At 40.4% G+C, this 14,594-nt stretch overlaps 1 protein-coding gene across 11 annotated transcripts in view; it reads left to right on the top strand.

The window, feature by feature from the left end:
• TMEM245 (transmembrane protein 245) overlaps positions 1–14,594 on the top strand; it is a 104,813-nt gene that overhangs the window by 41,234 nt on the left and 48,985 nt on the right. For all 11 annotated transcript variants that reach the window (NM_001438169.1, NM_001438166.1, NM_001438172.1 and 8 more), the window contains 2 exons: positions 5,276–5,358; positions 14,147–14,237. In NM_001438169.1, coding sequence (NP_001425098.1) covers positions 5,276–5,358; positions 14,147–14,237 — 174 coding nt within the window. The remainder of the gene's footprint in view (positions 1–5,275; positions 5,359–14,146; positions 14,238–14,594) is intronic.

Below are 14,594 nucleotides of genomic sequence, written 5' to 3'. Positions count from 1 at the left end.
TAGCTACATCATAGTCAAACTGCCGAAAGACAAAGATAAAAAGAAAATCTGGAAGGAAGCAAGAGAAAAATTACACATCACAAACAGGGGAACAATACAGTTAGTGACTTAATTCTCTTAATAAACAGCAAAGACTAAAAGACATTGGAGTGACATATTTAAAGTCATAGGGAGAAATCTCAAACAATACTTTTATAGTCAGTGAAACTGTTCTTTCAAAGTAAAGGCAAAATGAAAACATTTCTAGATAAACAGATACTGAATTTGTTGATAGCAGACCTGCACTTATATGGAATGCTAACAGAGCTCCTTCGGGGTGAAGATAAATGACTCCAGAAATAATCTGGATCCAAAGAAAGGGATGAAAGCACTTGGAAAATATGTGGGTTATATTTTCCCCTGTCTTCTTTTAATTTATTTAAACAAATATGACTAAAGAAAAATAGAAATACTGTTGTGGCCTTTATAACATATATAGATGAGCTATGTATATGTAAAACCATAGCACAAAGAAGAGGGCTGGCAAGTAGAACTGTAATGGTATGAAGTTCTTAAAATATTTTCCTGGATATAAGTCAATATTAACTTGAAGTAGATTATGATAAATTAAAAGATGAGATAAGATTTAGATAAGTTAAACAGCAGGCAATAAATAGCCTAAGGATTAGGGGAACTAAAATGGTATACTAAAATTTGCTGAACACAAAAGGCAGTGCAGGAACAACAGAGGACCAATAGAGATGGGACAAATAGAAAGCTAGTAGCAAAATGGCAGACCTAACCCTGGTCATGACAATACTTAGGTTACACGAGAAGCAACTAAACAGTCAAAAAGCATACATTGTCAGACTGAATATAAAAAGCAAGTTCCAACTTGCTTTTGGTATGTTAGAGACACACTTTAAATTCAGTCACAGGAAGGTTGATAGTAAAAATATTAAAAAACATACACTGTGCAAACTGTCCACAGAAAATATGTGCAGTTGATTCTATATTAGACAAAATAGATTGTCAAAAAGAAATATTGCTAGAGGCAAATTAAGGACTTTTCATATGGATAAGAGTTAATATTGACATAAGATAACAGTTACAAATGTATATGCTCCCAACAGCTGAGCTCTAAAATACATGAAATCCAACATTCAGAATTAAAAGGAGAAATAAACAAATCTATGATTATAGTTCAGGATTCAGTACTCCTTGCAGTAATTGAGGGAATAAGTAGTTAGAAAATAATAAGGATATTTAGAAGCCTTTTAAAAGCTGGGTGTGGTGGCTTATGCCTGTAATCCCAGGACTTCGGGAAGATGAGGCAGGTGGATCCCTTGACTCCAGGAGTTTTAAGACCAACCTAGGCAACATGACAAAACCCCATCTCTACAAAGAATAGAAAAAATTAGTTGGGCATGGTGACTTAAGCCTGTAGTCCCAGCTACTTGAGAGGCTGAGGTGGGAGGATTGCTTGATCCCGGGAGATTGAGGCTGCAGTGAGCTGTGATCGTGCCACTGCATGTCAGCCTGGGTGACAGAGCAAGACTTTGTCTCAAAAGAAAACAAAAACGAAACACGCCAAAAAACGCGGTCAGTCAACTTGACCTAATTAACAATTATATTCTTTTATATTATATATATAATATTATAACAAAAATTATATTCTTTTCAAGAAAACATGGAATACTCACCAGAATAAACAATATGTTCAATAAATTTGGAAGTGTTAGGCAAGGCACAGTGGTACACACCTGTTATCTCAGCTACCTGGCAGGCTGAGGCAGGAGGATTGCTTGAGCCCAGGAGTTTGAGACCAGCCTGGGCAACATAAGGAGACCCTGGCTTTACAAAAACAATTTAAAAATTTAGCTGGGCATTGTGATGCATTTCTGTAGTCCCAGCTACTTAGGAGGCTGAGGTGGGAAGACTGCTTGAGCCTTGGAGGTGGAGACTGTAGTGAGCCGTGATTGCACCACTGCAGTCCAGGCTGGGTGACAGAGCGAGATCACTGTCTCAAACAAAAAAAGCATTTCCTGACACAGAATTAAATTAAAAATCAGTAACAGAAATTTAGGGAATGTCCAAATATTTAGAAATTAAGCAACATACTTTTTTTTTGGCGGGGAAGGGGTGTATATAACATTAGTTAAAGCCTTTAATAATTTTAAAATAAGAACTTTAACTTTTTTTTTATTATACTTTAAGTTTTAGGGTACATGTGCACAACGTGCAGGTTTGTTACATATGTATACGTGTGCCATGTTGGTGTGCTGCACCCAATAACTCGTCATTTACATTAGGTGTATCTCCTAATGCTATCCCTCCCCCCTCCCCCCCACCCCACAGTGGGTCCCGGTGTGTGATGTTCCCCTTCCTGTGTCCATGTATTCTCATTGTTCAGTTCCCATCTATGAGTGAGAACATGTGGTGTTTGGTTTTTTGTCTTTGCGATAGTTTGCTGAGAATGGTTTCCAGCTTCATCCATGTCCCTACAAAGGACATGAACTCATCATTTTTTTATGGCTGCATAGTATTCCATGGTGTATATGTGCCACATTTTCTTAATCCAGTCTATCATTGTTGGACATTTGGGTTGGTTCTAAGTCTTTTAAGCAACATACTTCTAAACCTGTGAATCGAATAAATTTCAAAGGAAATTAGAAGATTTTAAAATGGAAGAAAATGAAGCCACTGCATATCAAAATTTGTGGGATGCAGCTGAAGCAGTGTCTTGTTGGAAGTTTATGTCATTAAATGCTTATATTTGAAAAAGGAAAATCAGTGACTTAAGTTTCCACCTTCAGAAGCTAGCAAATAATAGCAAATTAAATCCAAAGTAAATGAAAGGAAGGAAATAATAAGGATCAGGTGCAAATCAAGGAAATTTGAAAAGGAGAAACAATAGTGAAAACATGAATAAACTCAAAAGCTGTTTCTTTGAAAAACATCAATAAAATTGACAAAATTTTAGCCAGACTGATGAAGAAAAAAGAAGATACAAATTACCAATATCAAGTACAAAAGAGGAAACATCTCTGCATATGTCACGGATCTTGAAAGGATAAGGGAATATTGTGAACAACTTTATGCCATCAAGTTTGATAACATTAAATGGAGAAATTCCTTGTAGAGAAGGAGTGGAACAGACTCAAGAAGAAATAGAAAAATTGTAGCCCACTATGAGGACAAGAAATTGAATTAGTGTTTGAAATTCTTCCTACCAAGAAGCGCTCAGGCCCAGATGATCTCACTGATGAGTTTTATCAAACATGTAGCGAAGAAATACTGCCTGTTCTACACAGTGTTGTTCAGTTAGCAAAGAAGTAACACTTGTCAGCTCATTTTATGAGGCTAGTATTGCCCAGATACCAAAGTCAAAGGCATTCACAGAAGGGAAACTGCAGACCAGTATCCCTTATAAATAGACACAAAAATCCTTAACAAAACATTAACAGATTAAATCCTGCAGTATGTAAAAAGGAAAATATATCTATGTGAGGTTTATTTCGGGAATGTAAAACCCGTTTAACATCCAACAGTTGGTTAATGTAAGATAGGTCTCAAATCCAGTCACTTCTTTCTCAGTACCGCTACTGTCCTGCTCAAAGCTATCCCCGTTCTCTCTTGAATTGTTCCTTAGCCTCATTTAGTCTGTTTTCAACACAGCGTCCAAACTTACTTTAAACATCTAAGTAAGATTATGTCCCTTAGCTTACAGCCCTCTCTTTTTCCATATCCCACAAAATGCTAGCCTAAGTCCTCACAAGAACGTGTCAGGCCTTATTCATTCTGGCTGTTTTTCAGGCATTGCACCTGAGTTGATTATCCCCTCATTGTGTCTGAAATCAGTTTGTTTTCCCCGTCTTGGTGCAGTTTGTATTTTGTGTTCTTCCTACTTTTCTGGGGCCCGATAGAATTGGAAGTGGTATCACTTGATGGCTTAGGTGGCTATGTATCTTTGTTAGGGTATCTAGACTCTGTTCTGTTCTGGGTTGGTATGTGACTTGCCCTAGTGATTTTGCTACTTGGTTAATCTCATACCCATGCCCATGGAAAAATACCGTCAGTCTTTGTACTGTCTCACTCAATTCCTGGCATACTATGGAACTTTCACTGCAGAAAGGGACAGAGATGAGGGGTGGGTGTGGGTGGGGGACTTTGATCTCTTTCCTCTGATTTATCCTTTTCTCCCTCATTACACTTTCTTTCCCTCTGTCATCAGAAAAGGATAACGATGTGGCTTCTTTTCTCCCTGTTACTCGTGAATCGTAATATATTTGTCAGCTCACCTGTGTAGCTCCTGGGTGATGGGGTCAGTTTAGGAGTGAGCTGTTACGCCTCTCTGTTGTGCTCCAGAATGTTTTGTTTCTTTACCTGATGGCTGAGTTCCAAATTGTATCAGATTATGTTTCTTTCCTTGTTTGGATGTCCTGGGTGAAAAAATTTTTTTTCAACTGATTAATTCCCATTTTATCTCCCTCAATTTGTTGGTTATTGGGCAAGGTAAATTCAGAGGTGCAGCTTCTGTTGGCTTTTTTTACTCAGAAACCTTACTTAGTTGCAGTTTACTTACAGTGGCTCACACCTGTAATCCTAGCACTTTGGGAGGCCAAGGTGGATAGATCCCTTGAGGTCAGGAGTTCAAGACCAGCCTGGCCAACATGGCAAAACCTTTTTTCTACTAAAAATACAAAATTAGACAGGCGTGGTTGTGAGTGCCTGTAATCCCAGCTACTCAGGAGACTGAGGCACGAGAATCGCTTGAACGTGGGGGGTGGAGGTTATATCGAGCTGAGATTGCGCCACTACACACCAGCAAGCCTGGGTGACAGAGCGAGAACCTGGCTAAAAAAAAAAAAAAAAAAACAAAAAAAAAAAGTTAGTTCCTTATTTGCCTGTTTGTCTCACACTGCGTGATGAACCTGTTAGCTCACAAAGTGCTGATATTGCTTACATAGATACACAAACACATTTATACGATATATTCATGCAAATGAAATGTATGTACATATACGTGTCAAGTATTTGAACATATCTATTTATGTATTTTTTTCTTAAGTAATGTGTTGAACAGGGAGCTAGCATGTACTTTTTATTTCCCGTAGTGCGTATCATTAGATATAATGTATAGTAACTTTGCGCTGCATGTTTCTAAATTAATTAAAGCAAAGATGTGTATTTATTTGGCTCTCAAAGCATTGTTCCAATAATAGAGTAGAAAAATAAATGTTAAATTGGGTTTATTTTTTACTGAGATTCTTTTCTTTCTTTATCTGTAATACAGGTACATCAAGAGAGTGTACACATGATTGAAGTCACAAGTAATTTGATTAATGAAACTCTAGCAAATCACCCTGAGTGGGCAAAGTAAGAATATTGTTTTGAAAAAGAAGAGAGATGAATGGCCTAGTTTCAGCATCTGTTTGCACGAAATGACCTTCATTGATGCAGCTGCATTGGAAGATAAAAGATAGGGTTTGCCAGAGCTTTGATAAATATTGTCATTTTTGAAGAAGAATGTCATGTAATACAGAGGGTGGGAGGAAAGTGCTCAGGATTTTAGGTACAATTCATGGTAAATGATACTTTGTTTTATAATTGAGGTTTACAGCATGTTTATAATTTACAAAGCACTTCATCTGTCTTATGTCATTTGTTCCTCACAGTGACTGTGTGAGATAGATTGAAGAAATTATCCCCATTTTACACATGAGGAAACAAGATCAAAGGTTAAGGAACTTGAGATAATAATTCCGCAGTGGCAGAGTCATTTATAACCACTGCTTCTGATCAACTGAAGGAAAGTTTCCACTATAACATGGAAACTGTAACTCCTCAACTTTCTATATAATTTTTAAATTTATGTTATTTATTTATTTTTAAGAAATGAGGTCTCACCATGTTGTCCAGGCTGATCTTGAACTCCTGGGCTCAAGCAGTTCTCCTGCTTTAGCCTCTGGAGTAGCTGAGACTACAGGTGTACACCACCATGCCCAGTTTTATAATTATTGACATATTCCCATATTGTATTATTTTTGAGGAAGGATAGGTGAACTATGGCCCAGGGCCAAATTCAGCCACCTCCTTTTGTGTTGGGGACCAGCCTCAACACCACCCGTAGGGTACCTGAAGTTCGGTGGCGACAAAGGAATGAGAAGAGACAGGTACAGGTTAAGAGTTCATGAAGGTGGGAGTCGGGGCCAGTTGCATAATGGAGGCTGCAAAAGGCGCTGAGCTCTGGTCTCCACACTGTTTATTGAGTGTAATCACTTAGATCTAAAAAGCAGATGTTCAGGGTGAAAACACTGAAAGGGAGGCAGTACATCATAGGTGTAATCTATAGCAATAGCGGTTTAAATCAATCTCCTTTGTGCTCAAACAGCATATCTTTAACTTGTTGGAGAGTAGCTAGTGGGAGCGGGCTTAACTAGGAGCCTGCACATCTGTCCACATTCCAGTGTTTCAAGGGAGTGTCTTTCTCCTTGAACACAGTGTTTACAGATAAGAGAGCAGGTCTTGCTCTGAGTATGGGAACATGATGGCAATTCGGAGACTTTTCTACTCAGAGGCCTCTCATGGCTTTCCACAACTTATTGTCCCATATTTTTGTGGCCAGTTTATACAGGCACCCCACAAGCCCTTTTCCCAACACTTTGGTAAATGAAGTTTTAGTGGAACATACCTATGTCTACTCATTGACATATTTTCTCTGGCTGTTTTGGGGCTTCAAGGACAAACAGAATTGAGTAGCTGTGGCAGAGATTATATGTTCTGCAGAGCCTAAAATACTTACTCTCTAGTCCTTTACAGAAAAATTTGCCAACTTCTGTTTTATAGGATCTCTGTGTAATTTGGCTTCTGGAAGAAGGGTTTTCAGTTTTTGTGGGGGATGTTCAGCAGAGCTGTGTTATCCACCTAACAACTTGATGACACATTGTATGACCTGCCTTTTATTAACCTCAAGACAGTCATAAGTCAGGAAATATTCTGCCAGTTTTAGGCTTATAAGTTGAGATTTAAGTTGATTTTTTTCCTTTGCCTCTACTTTATTCTTTTATATAAAACCTGCCTAGGACATTACTTGAACTTGATTTAGAATAAAATTTTTTTTTTTTTTTTGAGACAGGGTCTTGCTCTGTCACCCAGGCTAGATTAAAGTGGCACAATCATGTCTCACTGAAGGCTTGATCTCCTGGGCTCAATCATTCCTCCCACTTTAGTCTCCTGAGTAGCTGGGACTACAGGCATGAGCCACTATACTCGGCTAATTTTTATATTTTTTGTAGGAGTTTCACCATGTTGCCTAGGCTGGTCTTGAACACCTGGGCTCAAGTGATCTTCCCTCCTCAGCCTCCCGAAGTGCTGGGATTACAGGCATGAGCCACTGTGCCTGGCCTATTTGAATCTTCATAAAAGAAGTATATTTCTTTTGAAATATAAATTGTGGTATATTTATGCAGTGGAATATTATACAGCATTAAAAAAAATGGACTAATGATACATGTACCAACATGGATGACTCTCAAAATAAGTATGTTGGCCAGGTGCGGTGGGTGGCTCACGCCTGTAATCCCAGCACTTTGGGAGGCCGAGGCGGGAGGATCACCTGAGGTCAGGAGTTTGAGACCAGCCTGGCCAATATGGTGAAACCCCATCTCTACTAAAAATACAAAAATGAACTGGGTGTGTGGCACACACCTGTAATCCCAGGTACTTGGGAGGCTGAGGCACATGAATCGCTTGAACTCGGGAGACGGAGGTTGCAGTGAGCCAAGATTGCACCACTGCACTCCGGCCTGGATGATAGGGTAAGACTATGTCTCAAAAAAACAACAATAAAAAAGTAAGTTGAGTGAAAAAATTCAGACAAAAAGCCCAAATGGTACGATTTCATTTATTTAAAGTTCTAGGAAATGCAGACTAATCTGTAGTGACAGTAAGATTAATGGTTGCCTGTGGATTGGGGTGGAGCTCTAGGGAGGACATACATATAGGTGCAAGGAAATTTTTAGGAGTGATAGATATGTTTATTATTTTGATTAAGGATATAAGTAGAGAAGTAGAATCATCATATTTCATTCTAGAACAGGCTTTTCAGCTGCTTTGTGGAGAAAAGATTGAAGGTATACAAGATGTAAACCTTTGAGACAAATTAAAAGCTTCTAGAGTAAACCAGATGAGAAGTGACAAAGCCCTGAACTGTAGACAGTTTCAGTGGAGGTGAACAGGAGGGACAGATTTATAAGGTCTTAAGGGGGTTAGTTGGTGATTAATTGGATATAGGAGGAAGAAATCTAGCATGACTTATGTTTCTAGCTTTGGAAATTAGTGAGTGATGGTGGATTCACCAAGACAGGAAATAGAAGAGCAGATTTGGTAGGGAAACTAATTCCCCTGTTTACCTGTTGAGTTTGAGGTGACTGTTGTAAGTAGAGGCATCCAGTAGGCTGTTGACTATGTAGGTATGCGGTTCAGGAGAGATGGGGTGAAGTTAAAAAATGGGCAGTTGCTGTGTAAGTCCAGGAATCAGATGAGAGGTCTGGGTTGGATCTTGAGTTTTGAGAAGCATCAGCATAAAGAATGTATGTAAGGTACAGAGAGGATGTCTGGAGGTGCGCCCTGTGGATATCTTAAGCCTTTAAGGGTGAGCAAAAAACAATAGGTTCACAAAGGAAAATGAGAATGGGCTATGAGAAAGGTAAGAGGAAAACCAAGGAAAGAGAACGTTTTGAGACAGTAGTAGTGGTCAGCAATGTCAAATTGCTGCAGAAATTTTCTAAGAGTGAAATTGGGTTTAGCAGCTGCAAGAGCAGTTCATTTAATTGGTGTAGCAGAAGCCCATTAGATTGCAGTGTGATGAGAAATTATTGGGAACGAGGAACTAGAGAAAGCAGGTATAGACTGCTCTTTCCCAAGTTTGCCTATGGAACGTAGCTGGGAAGGAGGTATAGAGCAGTTTTGTTTAATTTTTTAAGATGGAGAAGCCTTGTTTGTATGCTCCAGGGAAAGAACTGGTAGAGTGGAAGGGGTTGTAAATATTAGGAGAGAGATAATTCTTAGTGCATTTCTCTGAGGATGAAGCATGAGATGAATCCATGGCACGAATGGAACAGCTGGGGAAAGCAGGTCAGAATGGATATGGATATAAATACTGTGAGTTCAGTGGAGCGGGGAAGGCGGGAAATTAGGGGCCATACATCTTTGAAGTAAGAAGTGAGGTCTTCTGTCCTCTGGCTCTTTGGATATAATACATTTTAAAAGGAGAATGGGAAAAAGGAGGAACCAACATGTATCAGGTATGGGATTTTAGGAAGGAGCCACCTGGGATCTAGGCAAGTGGATAGAGCCTTTCATAGGATGATAGACCTTCCAAATGTTGTCCTCTAGGGCTCAGCCTCAGCCCTCACATCCAGAGGGCTCCTTTTCTTTGGGTCATTCTTCTGTACTGGAAGTCAATGCAGAGCCCTTTTGTACCGGTTTTGAATAGTAGCAGCATTCTCTCTGCAACTGTATCAAAGGCACACAATCTGAGCAGCCCCAGATCAGGTAGTAGAAGAAAGGTTTGTCTTTTGTTTGAAATTTTGAAGTAATAATTATAGATTCACAGGGAGTTGCAAAGACATATACAGGGAAGACCCATATACTCTTCACCCCATCCCCTCCAGTGTTGTCATCTTGCATAACTATAGTACAATAAAACCAGGAAATTGGCATTGCTATAATACACTGACCTTCAGATTTCATCCTCTATGTAGCTTCATGTCAGCTATCAACACACTCAGTACATAACTGTTACATTGCAGGCTTCCTCATGCCACCCCTTAACAGCCACACCCATCCTCTACCCTTTCCTTCAATATTTCCCTAACTCTTAGCAACCACTGATCAGTTCTCCATAGCTATAAAATCATTTTGAGAATAATACGTAAATCCAGTCATGGAGCATGCAGCCTTTTGAGATTGGCTTTTTGTTGCTTAGCATAATTCTCTTGAAGCTCATCCAAGATGTTGTAGGTATCAAGTTTGTTCTTTTTTATTGCCAATTAATGTTCCATTTAGGAAGGTTTTTGTTTTTGTTTTTGTTTTGACACAGAGTCTCACTCTAACCCAGGCTGGAGTGCAGTGGTGTGATCTTGGCTCAGTGCAACCTTCACCTCCTGGGTTCAAGCGATTCCTGTGCCTCCCAAGTAGCCGGAATTACAGTCATGTACGCACTACCATGCCTGGCTAAGTTTTTTGTTTTTAGTAAGAGAGGGTTTTACCATGTTGGCCAGGCTGGTCTTTGAACTCCTGACCTCAAGTGATCCACCCGCTTTGGCCTCCCAAAAGGAAGGCCTTTTTTTTTTTTTTTTTGAGATGGTGTCTTGCTCTGTCGCCCAGGCTGGAGTGCAGTGGCGCGATCTTGGCTCAATGCAAGCTCCGTCTCCCAGGTGCACGCCATTCTCCTGCCTCAGCCTCCCGAGTAGCTGGGACTACAGGCACCTGCCACCACGCCCGGCTAATTTTTTTTTGTATTTTTAGTAGAGATAGGGTTTCACCGTGTTAGCCAGGATGGTCTCGATCTCCTGATGTCATGATCCACCTGCCTCGGCCTACCAAAGTGCTGGGATTACAGACTTGAGTGACCGCGTCCGGCCAAGGAAGGCTTTTTGAAGTTGCTTAGACTTTGGTGATTCATAGAAGGTCTGATTCTTTTTCAGCAGATAGGTGGGGATGGGATTGGAAATAGTAGGGGTCGGCATGAAATAATGATAATGGTTTCCTGCATCTCTCAGTACTCAGTGGATTCTGTCAGCAGGAGGGCAGTTGACCTTGTAGGGGATTCATGTAGATACTCCTAGTGGAGAAGATACAGTTAAGAATAAGTCCAGATGTCCTTTCTTCCAACTTGGTGTGGTTTTATATGGCCCATGTAGTCCCTTGACTTCTGCTGGATGTGCCTCGTAAGCTGGTGGGTAAATTAGACAGATTAGGATCATCTTAGTGGAGCTCTAAAGAAAATAATGATGTTATACATACTGATTCTTGTCTTCGGCAGTTGTTAGTCGGGAGCTCATTTTCTGCTTTCTCCTGACTTGTCTCAAGCCTGTTGATTCCTGTGCCTCAGGACCCTCATTAGGAGATGGCACTGAAATGGTTCTCAGTTGCACTTATCCCTTCGCTTACTTGGGAGAAACCCAGTAGGCTAAACTAAGTTGTTTTTAATCAGGGTTGTTCTCTTGGTAGGTAGTAGGTGATAGAGATTAACCTTTACCCAGGAAGGTGAAGGCAGACCAGTCTAAACTGTAGGGCATTGGTTTCTGCTGAGGGATCCCTCTTGAGTGAGTAGGGGAGTTAGTGATAGGCTGAGGCAGTGAATCTCCAAGGAAGGAGCTCAGTTCAGGGGCTGTAGAGGTGTAAGGCCGGAGTACAGCCCAGCTAAGGCAGCTCCTGTGTTTCTGGCCCCATGTCTCTTGAGGGAGGCTGGGACTGAGCCAGTACCTCTACCTTGTCCCCAAAACAGCTCCTCTCATTTGTTGCTCTTAGGAAACCTGTGTGAGTACATTGGGAAAGTGTTTTCATAGTGGCCAATAAGACGTTTTCCCAGGCCCAATAGACATTTGTGAATCATTAAGGATCTGTCCAGATACCTCTATGAATCTTCACACTTTTTTTTTTTTTTTTTTGAGATGGAGTCTTGCCCTTGCCGCCCAGGCTGGAATGCAATGGCATGATCTCGGCTCACTGCAACCTCTGCCTCCTGGGTTCAAGCAATTGTCCTTCCTCAGCCTCCCAAGTAGCTGGGACTACAGGCGCACACCAACACACCTGGCTAATTTTTTCATTTTTAGTAGAGACGGGGTTTCACCATGTTGGCCAGGCTGGTCACAAACTACTGACCTCAGGTGATCCACCCGCCTCGGCCTCTCAAAGTGCTGGGATTACAGGCGTGAGCCACCATGCCCTGCCCATCTTCACACTTTTGAATAACACTACAGGAGAGTGTTATCATTATAATATATAATATCAATATAATACCAATATATCAATATAATATCAATTATAAGTTACCATATAATTGAAAATATTTAGCAGTCCCTTCAAGCCACTGATGAATGTATAAAAGAGTAATTTAAAAGCTACTTAATTTCTCCCGAATCACATTTCAGTTTAGTGACCCAGATTTCCTGTTTATATGCTTATACTGTAAATTATTATATTTGTGTCTCTAAACGTTTGAAATTTTGTCTTACTTGCTGAGAAATTTTTTTTTTTTTTTTTTTTTTTTTTGAGACAGTCTTGCTCTTTTGCCCAGGCTGGAGGGTAGTGGTATGATCTTGGCTCATTGCAACGTCTGCCTCCTGGGCTCAAGTGATTCCTGTGCCTCAGGCTCCTGAGTAGCTGGGACTACAGTTTTGTGCAACCATGCCCAGCTAATTTTTGTATTTTTTAGTAGAGACGGGGTTTTGCCTTGTTGGCCAGGCTGGTCTTGAACTCTTGGCCTCAAGTAATCTGCCTGCCTTGGCCTCCCAAAGTGCTGGGATTACAGGCATGAGCCAGCGTGCTGGCCTTGCTGAGAAATGTTTGAGTGGACTGAGGCATTTGCCAAGAAGTTTCACAGATACTTTATTTGGAGTGTGGGACAAACTGGTTAATACTTAAGATTCAACCCACTACTGGTTTAATAGTCTACTTTTTAATTTATTCAAAAGATCTCTTATTTTTTTCTGGTTAAAGACCACTTTCCTAGGCACCATGACTTTGTGGCTGTCAGTGGCAACTGACTTTCTCTTTATGACCATCTTTCTCATACACAGCACATAAAGTTGCTGTGAGTTGAGGATGTTGCACATTTGACTTTACCTAATTGACCCTTTTGTGTTAGGTTTGTAGGATGTGTCATTTTGGGGCCTCAGGAAAGTAAATGACTAGCTTCTGCTTGCCTTCACCTTTTGGCTTCACTCTGGAATAGTTGAAATGAGGACTGTTAAATTTGTGAATGTCAACATCTCCAGCGTATATTATTAAGAGGAACAATTTAGATAATACGTGAACATATTTTCTCTTGTGGAAAACATTAGGATTGTGTAAAGGATTCTTGATTAAGGTGTATGGTACAGCCTGCTTAGTCAACAGAAGAATGAGGAGGCCACCTCTCACTGCACAACAAGTAAAGCTGTGGGCTATAGTTCCTTGCATAGTTGGAACTTTGCTCAGGAATTCTATCTTTAAAAGATCTTCAGTAGATAACCAACTTGAGGATAATGATTCACCTTCTTCATTTCCTGCATTCTTTCTGATTTCTTCACTTCCTTAGATTAGTGATTCTCAAACTGTAGCATGCCATCAGTATCACCTGCAGGGTTTGTTAAGGTACAGATTGCTGGGCCCTAGTCGTGTTCCTTTTTCAGTAGATCTAGGTTTGGGCCCCCAATTTTTCATTTCTAACAGGTTTCCAAAAAGTTCTGATGCTGCTGGTTTGTGGACCACACTTTGAGAACCCTGTCCCAGATGTTGAATATCCCAGTCTCCCAGAACCATTTTCTTTGGTGCTGAATAAGGCAGGTGACTCAGGACATGTGAACAGAGAAACCAGGCAGAGTAGAATGAAAGGGAGGTTGTGGGGAAAGTGGGTCTAAAAGCTAAGGAAACATTGAGGCCTGGTGCCATGGCTCATGCCTGTAATCCCAGAACTTTGGGAGGCTGAGGCAGGTGGATCACTTGAGATCAGGAGTTTGAGACCAGTCTGACTAACATGGTGAAACCCTATCTCTACTAAAATACAAAATTAGCCAGGCGTGGTGACGTGCCTATGATCTCAGCTACTTGGGAGGCTGAGGCAGGAGAATCACTTGAACCCAGGAGGTGGAAGTCGCAGGGTTGCACCGAGCCGAGATCGTGCCATTGCACTCCAGCCTGGGCAAGAAGAGTGAAACTCCATCTCAAAAATAAAATAAAATAAATAAAAGCTAAGGAAAGATTGAAAGGACATCCTGAATGTTAGAGACTTAGGACAGTTAAGCCTGGAAGTCCTGCTCATGATGCTTTGGTATCTGTGTATTGGTGAATGATCAACAGTCTGTCTGTTATGGATTAAGCATATCAAGTTCAAAGCATTATTGGTACACTACACAGAAAGTGTACTTTTTTCATTTTTTTCTTTGTTTTACATTAGTTGGCTTCCTGAGGCTCAGGTAGTCCAAAGAGCCCTGAATTCTGCGGCTAACAACGTGTATCAGTATGGACGAGAATGGATAACTCACAAGGTAAGGGAAGAAACTTTCTTTGTGGCTTTCTCTTTTCAGGGTCTTTACTGGTGGTTGCTTGTTGCTTTGATAAAACATAAGTAGAAATGCTATTCACAGCAGTAAATAGGCTTAAATAAACAGGTAAGCAACATACAATGAAATCTTTTGAAAGATCACATTGAATAGGGGTAGTACCCTGAACAATCTGAGAGGTTGGTCATGTACTTTTTCAAGATAGATGTGATTCATTACTTGTGAGTTAGGACAGAATGATCACTTGGTTTGGGTAGTCAAATAAGGCTTTGTAGAGAAAAAGGTATTAATGCATATTAAATCTTATTGTCTGCTGATAACTGTCTTTGGCAGTTTCCAGTT

The sequence above is a fragment of the Homo sapiens genome, chromosome 9 (genome assembly GCF_000001405.40).
Source record: "Homo sapiens chromosome 9, GRCh38.p14 Primary Assembly".
In the NCBI taxonomy this organism is placed as follows: Eukaryota; Metazoa; Chordata; class Mammalia; order Primates; family Hominidae; genus Homo; species Homo sapiens.
Note: the sequence above shows the minus strand (reverse complement) of the source record. Positions and strands in the feature narration are given on the sequence as shown.